General features: G+C 37.2%; 1 protein-coding gene and 1 pseudogene across 14 annotated transcripts in view; both read left to right on the forward strand.

The window, feature by feature from the left end:
• Positions 1 to 18,100, forward strand: part of CRB1 (crumbs cell polarity complex component 1) — a 276,952-nt gene that overhangs the window by 159,724 nt on the left and 99,128 nt on the right. The window lies entirely within an intron of this gene.
• MRPS21P3 (mitochondrial ribosomal protein S21 pseudogene 3) lies at positions 2,557 to 2,985 on the forward strand (annotated as a pseudogene).

The raw sequence follows: 18,100 nt of genomic DNA on the forward strand, positions 1-18,100 counted from the left end.
GTTTTAAGATCAAGGTAGTATTGACCTCATAAAATAAGTTGGAAAATGTTTCTTAATTTTCTATTTTCTGGAAGAGAGTATGTAAAATTGATGTTAATTATTCTTTAAATATGTAGTAGACATATTCAGGGAAATCAGCTGATCCTGGAGATTCCATTTTCTGGATCTTTTGAATTGCAAATTTAATTTCAGTATTGTTATGAGACTATCAAGAATACTTATTTTCGGCAATTTGTGGATTTCAAGGGATTGGTCCTTTTTTTTTCTAAAAATTGTGTATTTTGCTGTCGTTGGATGGAGTATTTCTATATATGTCAATTAGATCATGTTGGATGATTGTAGTGATCGGATCTTCTATATTGCTGATTTTTCTGTTGAACTTCTGAGCATAATGTTGCTCATAATATTGCCTTATTACTCTTTTAATGGCTACAGAATCTGTAATGATTTCTCTGTTTTATTCCTAATTTTGACTATTTATATCTTTTCTCCCCTTTTATGTCCACCTTTTTACAGGTTTATCAATTTTACTGATTTTTTTTAAAAAAATAGCTTTTGGTTTCATTTATTTTCTCTGTTTTCCTATTTGCAATTTTATTGATTTCTGTTCTTTTTTATATCCTTATTTCTGTTTGCTTTGGGTTTATTTTCTGTTTTTTAAATTTATTTTTATTTTTCTAGCTTCTTGAGGTAGGAAGTTTTATTACTGATTTAAGACCTTTTCTTTTTTCTAATATATAAGCATTATAAATTTAACTCTCAATAGTGCTTCAGTAGCTGCATCCCACATATTTTGATATGCCATACTTCCATCTTAATACTGTTCTGTGTATTTTTAAAATTCCTTTTTGACATCCTTTTTGACCTATGGATGATTTAGAAATAAGAATTGAATTGTTTAATTTCTGTTTAGAAATTTTTCTCTTGTCTTTCTGTTATTGATTTTCAGTTTGATGCCATTATGATTAGAGAACACATTCTGTATAATTTCAAATAATTCAAATTATTTCAAATTTGTTGGGGTTTGTTTTTTGGCACAGGATACAATCTATCTTGGTAAATGTTCCATGGTTGCCTGAATAAAAATTAAAAAACAACATGTGTTCTGCTATTGTTTAGAGGCGATTTCTATATATGTCAATTAAATCCCATTGACTGATGGTGTTGTTCACATTTTGTATATCCTTACTGATACAGAATAGCACTGTCTAGCAGTCCATTACTTGTTTAGAGGAGAGGTGTTAAAGTCCCCACCTATAATTATGGATTTGTCTCTTTCTTCTTTCAGTTCTATCAATTTTTCTTCACGTATTTTGAGGCTCTGTTGTTTGATATATACACATTTAGGGTCATTATGTCTTCCTGGTGTGCTGATCCTTTTATCATTAGGCAATGATTTTTTTTCTCATATTCTTTTCTTGCTTTGAAATCTAGTTCATTTGATATTGTTATAGCCATTCCTGCCTTTAAAAAAATTATATTTACACAGCATATATTTTTCCACCCTTATATTTCCAACCCACTTATGTCATTAAATTTGAAATGATTTTCTTGTAAACAGTATATCAAACAGCAAATTGTTGGGTCATGCTTTTTTAATTCATCTTGCCAATTTCTGCCTTTTAATTGATGTATTTAGACCATTTATGTTTAAGTAATTATTAATATTGTAGGGCTTAGCTCTATGATTTTATTATGTGTTTTCTGTTTGATTCCTTTCTTTCTCTTTACTTCCTATGAATTAGTTGACTATTTTTGGGATTTCATCTTGATTTCTGTATAGTGTTTTTAAATATATTACTCTGTGTAATTTTCATAGTGATTGCTCTGGGTATGACTGATCACAGCCTATTGGTTTCAGTATTTTACCACTTCAAGTGAAGTATAGGAATTTCACTTCTATTTAGGTTTTTTTTTTTTGCCTTCTTCACTTTAAAATATCCTTGTTTTGAGGATCAGATGGTGTTATAATTTTTATTTTAATCATTACATATAATTTAGAAAACTCATGAAAAGAAGGATACTCCATTGTGTTTACTTATGTGTCTATTCTCCATTGTTTGTCCTCCCCACCTTAGGCCTCAAGAGTCTTTCTTTTTTTTTTTAAATCATTTTATTTAGGTTTACAGAGCTTTCTTTAGCCATTCTATGAGGGTAGGTATGCTAGTGACAATTTCTTTTGGTTTTCCTTTGAGAATGTGTTTATTGCACATTCATTCCTGATAAGTAGTTTTATTCAATGTGGAATTCATGGTTGACAGTTCTTTTCTCATGGAACTTGAAAAATTCTACACAACTTTTTTTTCTGCACCCCATGGTTTCAAATGAGAAATCTGCTATCATTGTAAAGTGGTGCTGGGTGCAGGGTTTGGGGGAAGGAAGGCCGGCTCGGCAGGAAGGCAGGTTTGCAGGCTTTTGCTCCCTTTTCCAAAGACCAACAAAGAGAACTTTCCCAACTCCCAACCCAAGCCCTTTTGGAACTGTGTGTGGTTGTTGGCATCCTGTGGTGCCTCCTTGCCATCCCTGCCCTTTCCATGCCTGGCAACGGGTCTTTGTGGCTCTGCAGAATGGAGATTTAAACCCAAGTTCATGGCAAAACATCTGAAGTTCATCACCAGGACTGTGATGGTATAGGAAGGGAACGTGGAAGGTGCATAGAGGACCCTAAACAGAATCCTCACTACGGATGGGCTCACTGAGGACATTAAGCTTCGGCGGTATTATGAGAAGCCATGCGGCCGGCGACAGAGGGAAAGCTATGAAAAGTGCCGGCGGATCTACAGTATGGAAATGGCTCACAAGATCAACTTCTTGATGCGAAAGAATCAGGCAGATCCGTGGCGGGGCTGCTGAGGCGGGCAGATCCGTGGGTGGGCTGCTGAGGCTTGTGGATGGGACACCCAGTATGAAACCCTCATCCAGTTTTGTCTCCATCTCTTTTTTTTATACAATCCCATTTCCTATTACAGTTCTGCAATAAACTCAGTAAACTCAAAATAAACTCAATATGTTTGCAAAAAAGAAAAAGAAAAGTGGCGTTGCCCTATAGGTAATAGATTATTTCTATCTAACTGCTTTCAGTATTTTTTCTTTGTCTAATTTTCAGCAATTTATTTGTAATATGACTTGGTGTTAACTTATTTGGGTTTATCCTATTTGAGATAGTCTCACCTTTTAAAATCAGTAGATTTATGTCTTTTGGCAAATTTGGGGGCTTGTCAGCCAATTTTTCTTTGCATATTCTTTCAGATCCTTTTTTATTTTTCCCCACTTCTGGGACTCTAATCATACAAATATTGGGTCTTTTGCTATGCTTCCAGAGGTTTCTGAGGCTCTGTTTTTATTTTTGTTTCAGTCTATTTTCTGCCTTTTGCTCAGAATGAGCAAATTCTTTTGATCTGTACTCAAGTTCATTGATTCTGTTCTTTTTTGTCTCCCATCTAGTATTGAGCCCATTCAGGGAGTTACTTCATCTATTGTTTTTTACAAGTCTATAATTTCCATTTTGTTCTTTTAAGCAACATATGTTTTTGCTGATACTTCTGTTTTTTCTTCATCTCAGGAGAATTTGTAATTGCTTTTTAAATCATTTTTATGCTGGTTGTTTTAAAATTCTTGTTAGATAATTCCAATATCTGATTTATCTCTGGGTTGACATCATTTCATTTTATTTTCTCATTCAAGTTATGGTTTTACTGATCCTTGTGATGACATGATTTTGAATTGTATGCTGGACATTTTAGATATTAAGTTAGGAGACTCCATGTCTTCTTTGAATTTTTGAATTTAGCAGACAATCACCTTTTTAGGTTTTAAGAACAGGTCCTGGCCTACTTATGTGGACTGTGGGTCCAATGATCAGTTTATTTTCTGATTCTTTGCTGTGTTGTTTTGACCTCCTTGGCTTACCTTGTGCCATTGGGCCTCCCAGGATCTCTACTGATGATCCCTGAGTGGTCAGAAGGTGTTTCCTTAGGTGAGAATGTTCCATGTCCTTCTGAGAAATGGGAGTCTTTGATTTATGGAGATGAAGAGGCTCCTTTAGTGGGTGTTGTGGTGAGCTTCTCCCTGTCTCTGGGGGTAGAGAGCATTTCCTAGGCTGAATACCTGTTGTGGCATAATCCCCTTTACTGATCCCCCACTCACAGGGTATCTCTTGATGGAAGTGGGGAGTCTCACAACTGCTAAGGAAGGAAAACACTTCACATAACAGGCCATTGTGGTAGCATAATTCCTTTTGCCATGGCCCCCTTGCCTATGATGCCTCTGGGGAGGGGGGGAGAAGGGAGGCTCAGCAACAGAGGAGGTAAGCTCTTTCTCTGGCTGCTCTTTTTTCTTTTCTTTTCTTTTTTTCTCCTTCTCCTTCTCCTCCTTCTCCTTCTCCTTCTTCTTCTTCTTCTTTTTTTTTTTTTTTTATCAGTAGGGCTTTGTTTAATTCTCTTTGCCCATTCTTCCAGGCTCGCCTTGTGTTGTAGGTGGGACTCTCGTTCAATCTGGGGAAAGAAAGAGCCAACCTCGGCCACCTTCTCTTGTTTCTGTTGCTGACCGGGGATCAGCAAACACCAGGACGGAGGCACCTCCTTGTGTTATGCTGGAGGTTATAAAAAGCCCTGATGCTTTGCTGTTAGTCCTGGGGCGTCTAACCAGTTCACCTTCCTCTTCCACCTTTCAGAGTTCTGTTTGGTTGTTACATGTAGTTTTTAGTCATGCTTAGTGGGGAGAAACAGGGAGAGAGAAGTCTATGCTCTCTTGTCCAGTCTAAAAGTCCCTATGTAACATTTGTTAAAAACACTTGTGTTATAGTAGTATAAAGAAAAAAAATTTTTTTAATGGCTTCAGGTAGAAAAGCAAGTGTTAACTTTCTCTTTATCTTCCTGATAGTACCAAGAAGTTCAAAATATCATTTATTTTTATCAATGACTATATTTATAATTAATTATTAATAAATAACTTACTATTTCCCTTGCCTTTCTTCCATCCCGAATAGTTGGATATTCAACTTTATTTTTATTTGTTATACGTCCATTTTATATTCTGCAGATAGAAAACATACAGTTTACTTTTTTACATGCTATGTGTATTTATAGCTCTATTGGTTGTTAGATTAAAATAAAATTTCCATTATGTTGAAAAATGTATTTGTGCATAGTACATTTACTGACAGCTCCATTCAAAAGAACCTTTCCAAGTGTTAAATACAGGTATAAACTGTTCTTTTTTTGTATTATAATTAAGAATGTATTTATTACTCTTCACTACTTGTGTAATTACCTTCTATATTGAAAATATTTGCATATGTAACGTAATTTTTCTAACTTTTTATAATGTAAAAATGATATATACCAGAGTAGAAAATTAACTGACAGTCTCAGAATTATACTCAGGGAGTTAGAAATAGAGAGAGCATGAGACCATGGAAGATGACAAATGAAAACAGGAACTCAAGGAGGCAGAGAATCCTAGTGAGAGGAATCAAGACCCCCTGAAGGAGGATTAACTTTTATTCAAGGTTTCTTCTAGAATTTCCAGCCGGTAAAGCAAGTTACCATGGCCCAGAGAAACCAAAAGTCTCATTTGGTAAGGTAATTGAGAAAAATCTAAAGATCCATTTAGATATTTTAATGACTAGAATTGAACCATGCCTCTAGAGGCAGTAGTGGTTACTATTCTCTAATTCTCCAAAATCATTTCAAAAAAAAATTTGGCAAAATATGCTCATATCTTGTCATAACTATTTGTGACCATAGTTGCAACACTCAAATTAAAATGAGAATGGGACATTGCCACTTGATTTAAATGTCTGTGCATTTACTTAAACCTGCACATCCACATAATTTTAATGGTAAGCAAAATAAATTTATAATTGGAGAAGGCCTGTAGTTGAATAATACTATTCAGTCCATTCCAAAGTCAGTAAATTATCTTTATTTTGTATGACCACCCTTGACCACTACTAGAAGGAATGTTGGCTGCTTCTTTGTATTCTGTTTGAGCTTTCCAGTCCGGGGCACTGGGCTCAGTTCTGGGGATAAAATGATGAGAGTACATGGTCTCTTCCCAAGGGAAAATGAAAGAACAAGAGGAAAATGATGCGCAAAGTGTAAGACAATATGATAACTGTCACAGTGGAGCCATAAAAAGGCACCATTAGATAAATCAATAAAGAGGAACTTTTGTGCTGTTTATGCCAGATAGAAGTTAGTGGAAATTATAAGAACCCAAACAGCTTGATAAATTCACATTTTGAAGTACAAATCAACGTTACTACTGAAACTTTTACAAGGATCTCATGACCTGTGTGCTTACCCTTGAACCATCCTGTTCTAACCAGCCAAGTGAAATTGGAAACAATTGATATGTCTTTCACGTGAACATTTCATTTCTATTTATCAAACTATACTCATGATAATACCCTTAACAAGTTTCCAAACCATCTCATCCAAGTCCAATTTTCATTTCTAACTTTCCCTCACCAACTCCAATTAGCATGTACTCCAACTCAGAGGAACACCCTCCCTGGTCTCTGGAACGCTACATTGTTGCCTCTGAGGCTGGGATTTTATTCTACTTCACCCATCTGCTCTCTGTATGGAAAGAACTGAGTGCAGCAGGGGATCCTATGAAGTCCTGGCTTCAAACCTCGGGCAAAAATATCGGGTTTCTTAACAATAAACACCCCGATGAGAGCCACCTGGCAAAGTGACTGCACACAGGGCTTTCGTTCTCAAGTTCATCCGCTTCAAGCACAATGTTGCTAAAAATGAAGCGTTCACTTTTCCTTAAAAGTCAAATCCTGTCACTTTACCTAAATCCAACTAAAATAGCCATAGAGGGCCAAGCATATATCATTCAAAGCTTCATATAGTCATGAAGGAATTAGGCAATGGTACAGTCAATATCTCCTGCTGGAAGAGAAATTTTCAATAGAATTTTTTCATTTGCTGACTTCACATTTCAGGAGCATTGTTCCTAGAAATGCACTTTTTTTTCTTACTTACAATTTCAAATTTGAGAATATAAATCCTAGGACTCTCAAACAGATATTTGATATGCATAAATAACTGTAACTCTAAAAGATGAAACTTTGCTTCTATCCTCGTTTACTTCATAAAACATCTTTTCAAGATTCATCTGATTCATTTACCTTTGCCTTTACCATGCATGTTAATTTCTATGAACAAAACTATTCATAGTGTGTATAACTATTTACGCTTGTACTCCTTTTGATTTTACTATGTTAGCTGCAATAACTAGGACAGGTATACCACGTTATACATACATTAATTTAAAAAATGATTTTTGTTGATTGCTTACTGCCTATTATTTAGAAAGATATTATAGCAAGGAGGAAAATTTAAAGGCTAATATTTGGAAGACCACATACAGACCAAAACAGAGGCAGATATGTTTGTAGACCCTATGACAGAGATAGATAACTATGGCATCAAGGGCCTTGGCTGCTGTCTCAGGTTGGCATTCCTCTGTTGACTTGTAATCACACAAGTAAGGGAAAAGCTCTCAAATGAATAATCAGCAGACAGGTGCCAACTCTTCAACTTAAGTATGCTGACCAATACGTATTAGAAAAAATTTCTGAAACTAAAGAACAAAGCCAGGAAATCCATCATTAAAGTCTTGAGGTGCTGTCCTGGCAACTTAGAAGACCTGAAAGGTAGATTTTCATACCAGAGTTCTATTTTGATGAGAGAGATGTGGGCCTCACCCATTTAAAAGAGCTTTCAGGAGAGTAATGTTTCCTGAGAATAGCCAAACGTTTGTTAGAGTAAGAAGCTGATGAAAATGTTCATTGGGGAGGTTGAGGATATTGGGAGTTGTCCTCACAGTAGACCATCCTGCGAGCTCTCATATGACGTGGTCTAGTGTGTGTTTACTACTCATGAGGATGCCCATCTTGACATCCCATGCTTTTTTTCTAACTACCCAAGATCCCAAAATGTTTTTTATTAAGCATGTTAATCATTAAGTACAATATTATTGACCTACACCTGACCTAATAAATGATTAATTATAGCTCTTTTCCCAATGTCTACTACTTAGTTTGTTGAGAGAGTCTGTCTTCTGATATTAACACAGAAGACCCTCAGAAACACCCCTCTCCTCCTGCATCCCCTCCCCAACCACCATGACACGCACATTCACCTAGAGCTTCACTTCAGTCCCAAGCAACCCAGTTGCGAGGGCAAGAAAAAGTATCCAAAACCTCTTCCTGAGACCAACCAATCCTCTTCCTGAAGAATTACATATCCCTTTCTCAAAAGAGGTTTTATTATACCTGCCATTGGCAAAAAAAACTACCCCCTTAGTCATTACTTAGGAAACAATTAATTTCTGAAGAAGCTATAATCAGCATTGATTACAACTTTCCCTAAAGTACATCAGGAACAATACCACTATGACTTATAAGTCTGCTTACTTCAGTCACCCACTGAAGTCCCAGCGTCCCAGTTCATCATTTCTGGTCTTTATCCCAGAATGCTCTCTACATACCCTAATTTCATGCAATTTTCTACCCCATTCTGAACTTCTCTCTGTATGCTGAAGATTTAATAAGCCCAATTACCAATATCCTCAACTTTTTTTCTAAATGTTTCCTTCACCTGCTTGCTTAAGCTCAAATCATGCTATATTCTCAGGGTACCATTTCTTCTGCAATCTTCTTGAATGGTGGTTGTCTTTTATTCTTCTTCCAAATCTCATGTTTGACTAGTCCCAAAGGTAAGCTAAATGTCCTCATGTCATTGCTTCATCTAGGAAATTAGTCTTCCATCCTCATTCAGAATTTTGTATCCAGCGAAACTGAGCCTCATAAATGAAGGAAAGACACAATCTTTTTCAGACAAACAAACGCTGAGAGATTTCTCCACTTCCAAGCCAGGACTACAAGAACTGCTAAAAAGCAGCTCTAAATCTTGAAACAGAACTTCAAAATACACCAAAATAGAGCATTCTTAAAGCATAAATCTCACAGGACCCATAAAACAATAACACAATGAAAAAAAACCGCAAGGTATTTATACTTTTGTTGACAGAAAATCAACAAAGAAACAATGGACTTAAACTATACTCTAAAACAAATGGACTTAGCAGATATTTACAGAACGTTCTACCCAACAACTGCAGAATATACATTCTACTCATCAGCACATGGAACATTCTCCAAGATAGACCATATGATAGGCCACAAAACAAGTCTCGAGAAATTTTAAAAAGTAGAAATTGTATCAAGTACACTCTCAGACCACAGTGGAATAAAACAAAATCAACTCCAAAAGGAACTCTCAAAACCATGGAAATTAAATAACCTGCTCCTGAATGATCATTGGATCAACAATGAAATCAAGAAGGAAATTTAAAAATTCCTTGAACTGAATGATAATGGTGACATAACCTATCAAAACCTCTGGGATACAGCAAAAGCAATGTTAAGAGGAAAGTTTATAGCATTAAATGCCTACATCAAAAACCCACCTCATGTTGAAGTACATGTCTTTGAACTGCACTGCTCACTACCTCTTTTGGTTGCAACATTCTTCCTACCTCACGGTACCTTCTCCTCAGTCACTGATTACCTTAATATCTTACTCCTGTCATCATTTTGAGGATTTCAGCATCCGTGTAGACAACCGATACAAACCATTATCTCTGTTATTTGAAATCCTTATTTCCAATGACTGTGACTGCCATGCCACACACACTTCTGCCCACTTCTTTGGTCATAACTTAGGCCTTATTATCGCTGATAACCTTCCTAAAAACATCACTTTAAATCATTCTGTTTTATGACCAGAACCTCCAATTATTCCAGTTCATATACTTTAGAACTTTTTCCGTTGAGCCTAGTCTGTTGTCTTAACCACTTTTTTTCCAGTCATTGCCTCACTTACCTTCTGTCTCAGCTAAGGTTTCAAGGTCCAGCACTATAATTATTCCCTTGCATATACCTTCGGCTCACCTGATTCTTTCTCTCTTCATTGTACTTGCCTGACAAAGGTACAATTATGGTTAAATCAATCCTCTACCTTCTCCACACTTACAACCAATTTGAATGTGGTTGGAGAAAAACTCACAAGCCACACACTGAACTGTTGAGTGTCACTTTAAATTTATGGTGCCAAATCTCATGGGGCCTTTAGCACTAGATAAAAATCCTTCTAGAGCTCTACTTCCCAAGATGAGCCTTTTTAAATCTTCTATTTCTTCAAACTTCCAATACCTCCTCCCTCATTGTTACCCTAAGTTGATCATCAAGTCTAATTTCATCAGGAAAATAGTATCTTCCTGCCACCAAAAGTGTTGTCAGTTCTGAGGTTTGATTTTTATCCTTTTTACAAGCTCATACGTTATCCTGTTCCTGTTTTGTGAATGCTGGCAAAAGACATAAAACTTTGTGTCAGGAAAAAATGCACAACCAGCAGCATGAGCCTCAGGTTTACATGAATTACCCTTGCACCCAACTCCCACAGGGTTGGTACTACATGGGCCCAGATGAGTACTGCACAGACAGATTTTTGTCGCAACTGATGAACATCAAGTTGGGGAATTCATCGCTTTTACGGTAAGCAGTAAGAAGCCTGCTCCTTGTCCCAGAGGGAGACATTACTTCATTCTTCAGAGATGCTTGCTGCAAAACCAACCCCAAGAAATGGGCAGGTAAAGATCAGTCAGGGCCTTGCATTCTTAGGATTCCCAGTAAGAAACTGCCAGGACACACAGGGCCCATGATGAGTTGCTTCTTCCAGCAATCCATCCCATGACCCCACTTGTTCTTGGCTGAACTCGAATTTTCATATGAATATGCCACTCCATGAGCCACCCTGCTTAATGTGACTGACAGAGACTGGGATTAAATCTGTTCAATTTGCCTCATGCAGCATTTAATTAAGGAGACTATCAAGAGGACTCTAAGCAATAAGATGAAGTCAACCTGTAGTATACATTTCAACTCTACTCCCCAGGGCCCTGGACTCAGCCAATTGTACATAAGTCCCAGGGGCACCAATCATCATCTTAACTTTAGATAGCCAGAAAGTAGTCTAAAGCCAGTCAGTTATCCATTGTGACCCACGTAAGGGAGCTTAGATTGACATACTGATCTTTGATGTCATTACCAATAATGACAGGGGCAATAAACGAGCAACACTAACCCCCAAAGGAGAGACATTCCCCCACATACAAACATATAACACAAAGGGACAGACTCTAGTTCAGAATTTCTGGTTAAAATTGATTTATACCTTTGTTACATTGGTTTGGTTAATTCAGTACAACAGAAGCATCGCTTGCAGCTCCCATTGCCATTTATGGCAACACTTAAGCTGCCTGAGTATTAGGAAAAGCGTATGAATATATGTTATTAAGATTGAGGTTGGGCACAGTGGTTCACACCTGAAATCTCAGTGCTTTGGGAGGCCAAGGCAGGAGGTTTGAGACCAGGTTAGGCAATATAATGAGACTCTGTCTCTTTAAAAAAAAAAAACAAATAAAAAAACTGAAACAAAGTTGTGGGACCTATCTCTTTGTACGCATACAAGGCTGAGGAGGAGGCAGTTCAGGAGCTTCCATTAGTGGTGTCAGCTATGGTGAAGTAGTTTAGGACCAGCCAAGTTTGCAAGACTTTTGGTGTTTTTATAACACCTGGACAGGGATGACAAATCCTGTAGTGAGTTTAGATTGTCAACTGCAGCTGCTCCTAGATTCAGCTAGACCATACAATTGTTTTGCCAGCCTGCATTGCTGAATCTAAGGAATAAGAAGCCTAAGTGCCTCTCTCCCCTGAACTGCCTGGGGTTTAAAGTGATCTGTGCTCGGGTGCTAGAATTGTTATTCTCCCTCCATGGCCATGAAACTAGGGTGTCCCAACCCAGTAGCTATAACTTTACCTCTTCTCCAATCATCTGCTCATACCAATACCTTTTGTCCAGAGAGGTCAGACATGAATAGGAATAGGTCACTTTAAAAAATATTTACTGAGATTCATTCATTATATTTCCCACTTAGTCCAGTTAGGTTACTATAAGTAATTATACTAGTTGGTGAATAGTATATTCAACCAGTGTTCATTGTCTTTATGATCTAAGACCATGTTAATTCAATAAAAGAATCCAGGTAGCTACATCAAGTTAAGTTTGAATCTCTTAGTCTCCCCTTTAGATGTGGCTGCCCTTCAAAGTGTGTACAAATCAGGCTGACATGAGGTTGTCACTAGGGGAAGAAAATACACTTCAGGTTCATAAATGGTCAAGGCATAATCATGAATTTTCAAAATAAGTTTACATAATTTTTCTACCCATCCATCTTGATCATTACCTAGGAGTTGGCCAACAGGAGACAAATCTTTCCTGCCCATGGCCATATTTAATGCTCAAACAGCCTTAATAAACTGTTTTAATAAAATCTGTGGGCCAGAAAGAGGCAAAGAAGGTAGATACAGAAAGGAGGGAGAGTCAGAAATCTTCAGGATTGGTTTCCAAAAAGTCTATTCCATATCTCAATGATGCCAGCAGCCTTATCAGAGAATGATAAGAGTGTGGAATGTCCATTGAATATGTTTACTACTGGCCCATTGCTAGGTGGCCTTTATGACAAAAATACACCATTGTCAGATTGTAGATGGTCTTGAAAACTGAAAATAAGAATCAGATTATCAAACTGAAATAGCAGCAAAATAATCTAAAAATATGTCAATATTAGCAAGGCACCAATGGTAGTCCCAAGAGAGGGTCAGAGATCTGACACAGCCAATTTTCTAGAAGTGAGCAGGGAAAATGCTCCTTGTAATGTGGCCTCCTTTACTGCAAAACAATCAGGCCAATTTTTGGCAGGAGTCTCCTTTGGTATGCAGTTTCTAGATTAGAAACATATAGTCCTTTGCTGTAGTTCGTGGTAGTGGATATGTTTTCTGGTAAGAGGATGGATCCAGATAATGATGGAAGCCATCTAGATAGATGCTGGGTAATCCATTTGATTCTAGTTGTTCTCATTAGGGGTTATAGCAACAGCCACCAGAAAACCATACTATCCCCCAGTTGGGAGTGCAAGGAATGGAGGATGATGGGGAGATTAGCCTATGGGAGTGGACGTGGGAAAAGGCTTGGTCCTTTCTAAGGGGCTGGTGACCAAGTGCCAGAGCTGCTTCCTATCCATGTATATCCTGATATCTGATGAGTGTCAGGGCCCAGAGGACCCCTTTTTTCTTGCCCCCCCTGCATGCCATTGTGCTCTGCCCTGTCAAAGGGTAGTCACCAAGCAAGAACAGTGCCACACCTGAGTAAGCTAGTAACTTGAGATCTCATATAACAATGTTATTTCTTCTTAAAGAAGTTGATGTTGTGGAATAGGGAGGGGGAGGAATCAGGGGTCATAGAGGGAGAGAGCAGCTCGACACTAGTAAACAAGGTTTTACATTCAATTTCACTTTCAATTCAATTTCTCTTGCTTGTGGCTCAATCAAATAAACTCATCATCATCAAATAAAATCATCATTTTTTTTTCTAACTAAAGTTCTATATTGAATTGAAATGATGTCATTGTTGACTCCATTTATTTCATCTTTCAGTACTCCTTGACTCAGCTGTCACAGATACGTTGCCTTCTGGCTGGAGCCACAGGGCTTGCTGCCCTATTGTCATAATAATGTTTTTTCCTCCTCCCACCTAGAGGAGAGCTAGAAACAACCAAGGCACCATATAAGGCTGTTTGTTTTAATCCCAATCTGATTGATGGGCAGGACCTTGGGGGTCTTTTGCTTCCCTCTTTCACCTACCATTTCAGTGGGAGTCCAGGGAACTCATCTTCTACATCTGAACCCATCCCAAAGGCTCTTAACATTTTTCTTCCAGAAAGACATGTCTCTTTCAGGATCTCATCTTTGTTGCCATAACTGTTGGGTCTGAGATTTAATTTTACCCTGTTTATAAAGGAATGAGTTAGCCTGTTACTGTTTCATGGATGCTGGCAGAAGACACTAAACTCTTGGGTCAAAGACAAATGACTATATTACTCACAGCACAGCAGACTGCATGAGTATCATGTTTATGTAGGTTTCTTTTGCATTCAAGTCTTACAGGGGTGATTTGCTAGATGGATGGTGTACCTGCAGTGGATTTGCATCACAGCTGAGGAACAATAGCTTGATAAATTATCTGTTTTCATAGCAGGCAGTAAGCCAATCTGTTTTTTGTCCCAACTTTGAACCTCATGTTTCAAAGTTGCTTGCTGCAAAAACCAATCCTGAGAGATGGCCTGGGTAGAATGGTAAGGATCTTGCATTCTTGGTACAACCAACAAGAATTGCAGTGATCCTCAGTGCCCATGGTATATGGACTCTCCCAACACCTACCTATCTATCTGTCACTCATTTACTTGCCGCCTCCCAATTCCTGCCTATGTTTGGACTACTTTTCCATTACAACATTCCCACCTGAAGTTTACTTATGCATGGCACCCTGTTCATTCTCTATGATTCAGGATCTTTAGCAATTATTCTTTATACATCTTGCATCATTGATTTTCCACTCTATTCTAAATCATTCTAATTGGCTTGCCTATCTATCCTCTGGAAAAAAAATGCTCCTTAGAATGCATACACCTCCTCAGATATCCTCTTCTGTATTCCACCCTCCTCTAAAGAGATGTGTATACTTACTCTCTACTTTTTCACTTCCCGGTAACCTCCCCATTAAGGCAGTTTTTGTTACTTCGGTGAAAACTTCCCTGTCAACAATTTCCATTTGCTAATCTAAAACTTAATTTTAAGTCCTTATCTTAACTGGCCTCTAGTTTACAGTTGTTCTCTCTGACCTGCTGGATATAATTTCTTTATTTAACATCTGCCCCCTTTTCTTCTTGTTCACTATCATTCTATTGCTAGCATATCCTCTATTTTCTAGACTCTAAATGCTGGAGTCCCCTAGGATTCAATCCTTAAACATATTTTTTCACCCCTTGGAAAATCTCATGTAATCTCTTGACTTTAAATTTTAGATAGATGTTTACAACATCTAAATTTTTGTCTCCAGCCCTAGCTCCTCTCTTGAACTTCCCTTAACTTTTGTATTTAGATAGCTAAAATGATTTTCAAACATAACATAACCCAGGCAAAACTTTTTATTTTTTTATCTTCATGAAACCCAAAAGAAAAAAATTAAGCTAAAGCAAACAAACAAAATAATCACAAAACAAAACAAAAATTCACAAAACGACAAAAACACTTCTTCCCCATCTCAGTAAGTGGTAACAGCATATTCACCCAGTTGGTCAGGCCATAAATTCAAAGCCGTATTTGGTTTCTCTCTTTCTTTAATATCCCACATCTGATTCCTCCACACAGTTTGTTGGCTTCTCCTTTAAGCTGTGTTTCAAGCACGATCATACTTCCCACCTCTACCATTTCTACTCTAGACCAAGCCACTGTCATGTCTCACCTCAACTACTTCAATAGCCTAATGTTTTGGTGTTCTTCCATTCTTGACTTTCTAAATCAGTTCTCCACACAGCTTTGGTAGTAACATAATATGCATCAGATCATGTGAGTCTTCCATTCAAACAGTCCAGTGGCTCACATGTTCTCAATAAAACTTGTACTCCTTAACATATTCTTGGAAGCCCTTGTGTGATCTGTCCTTGGTTATCCTCTCCAAAATCACCTCCTGAGTCCTCACTCTCTTCACTGTAGCTAGGCTGGGGGTCTTAAAGTTACTTGGTTAGGCCAAACTCATTTCTGCCTTAGGGGTTTTACATTTATTTTTCCCTTTACCTAAAAGACTACAGATTTTTGCATGGTGATTCCCTCTTTTAAATCTTTATTCAAAGACCACTTTTCCAGAGAGGTCTATCTAAACCTCCCACAAAAATGCCACCTCTCTCTGCACCCCAACACATACAAACACATGCTCTATTTCCTTACCCTTATTAATTTCTTCATATTACTTATCACTGTGTGATCTTACGCACACACACAGACACACACACTTCCATTAATTTTTAATCTCCCCTCTCTCAGTCCTTACTAGAATTGTCCACCATGAAATAGACTTTGAACATCTTGACTACTATAGCTCCAGGACCTAGCACAGTGCCTAGCCCATAACAGGAGGCCCAACCAATATTTCATGAATATCAAAATGCTGAAATCAATCAGTTGAAGCTTGAGAGAAATCTCAGGACTCTCAGTTGTAAGCATTGATCATCAACCCACATGTCAGGTAAAGTTTTGCCCTTAGCAGCTAAAAACTTTAATAAACCTTTTGAAGATTCTTTCATTCTCCTAATCCGGAAGTAACTAGATGAGCCTCAGAATTCTTGCTCTAATTATAGTGTATGCCATATTTTGATAAATTAAGTTTTCCATGCCACTTGACATATCATAATTTGAAAAATGTGTTCTCCTTATTTCAGATTGATCTTCCATTTTCAAGAGTATCTAACACCTTATCTTTAAGTTTCTCAGTTCCATTTTCTTCCTATCAAGAATCTAAGGATTTATTTATTCAAAAATTCAAAGATATTATATGAGCTTACATTTTTATGAGAAAGGCTTTTGTTAAAAATGAAACCTTTTTTTATGAACTCTTTTTTTAATGGATCATGACAAACCTATAGGGGTCATTACTGGAAATGTGATTAGGATCATTTGTGCAATGAAGCACTTCCTAGCTTAAGGCAAATTTGGCCTAGCTCTAGCCTGCTGTATCCTCCCGGCACTATCTTTGAGTCAAGCGTATGTTCTTAGTTAATTGGCTTATGGCAAAAGTAATTTTGTCAGTTAGATGTTTCCGTAGAGCTGCCCTTGCTGAGTTAGTGTCTTAAGACAGAGCCACAAGGTTTTGTTGACATGTAAGTTTTCTGGTTGTTTTTTCCATTTTTACTTCCTGACATCTCCCATAGTGTTTTAAAAAAGAGGAATGGTGGCTAGAATAAAGTTATGTATGGGCAAGCCATTTTTGGCACATGCGAAACCATCAATTCTTCAAGTATCAAACAATGATATAGATGTCAGCCAATAGCGTAAGATTTTTCAAATTCGATCAAACAAAATGTCCTGCTCTCCACAATCTAATATTTCTTCAGATTGAATTTAGAGTTTAGATCAAGATGGGATTACTATTACATTTTCCCAGGTGGCTATATTGATATCTTACAGCTACAGATTAATCTTTCTCCATTTTTTCCTCTCTTTTCTCTTCCTTGTTTGCTCTTACCTCCTCTTTCTCTCAATTATAATGGTTCTTAATGAATTCATTATGTAAAGGATTCTCATATCCAAAACTCTATGAACCCTTTCCAACAAAAGGGAACTAGACCTACTTTTGATGCCTCTAAGATGCAGCTATATAAATTTCAGACCTGTTTTTCACTCCTCTCATGGTAGTCTGACCCCAATAAGGAAGAGGGTCTGAATGAAACATTTCATAAGTGTCACAGATAATCTACTGCTGAAGCTGTATATGTTTATTGCTTTTTTCAAAGAGTTTCTTCAGAATTACCCCTTTCAAAATAACAGTTTACTCTCTACTGATAAAACTGTAATCAAGATCTGGTTATCATCTTTTGTTAACATTTTATTGAAGTATCACACACAGATAAAAGTGTACACATAATATATTTATAGCTCAATACATGTGTTATAAAGAGAACATGCTCATGTATCTAGTACCCAGAGCAAGAGCATGGTTAAATGGATGCTACTTTCTTTTGAAGGAGATGACTAGTGCCAGTGTAGTTAGTGACAGAGGCAAAATTCAGTTCAATCATCAAAACATTTTCAGATAATTAAAACTGTCTACAAATGAGACAGGCATCCTTGCAAAGAAAAAAGATTCTATGTGATTAGAGTTGTTTGTGGATAGGAAAGATGGAATTCTTGAGTGGTTGGTTGGACTGGATGACTTCCTTGGGTCTTTCCAACCAAAGATGTACGTAAAATCAAACTCTGAAGATCAATGTTCTAATGGTAACATCAAGGCAATTATAAATGTACATAATAAAATAGTATTTTCTAAAGATCAGTGAAAATGATTCTTAGGAGATATTTAAAAATCATTTTTCTTTTCTTTTCTTTCCTTTTTTTTTGAGATGGAGT

This window comes from Homo sapiens, chromosome 1 (assembly GCF_000001405.40).
Source record: "Homo sapiens chromosome 1, GRCh38.p14 Primary Assembly".
Taxonomy (NCBI): Eukaryota; Metazoa; Chordata; class Mammalia; order Primates; family Hominidae; genus Homo; species Homo sapiens.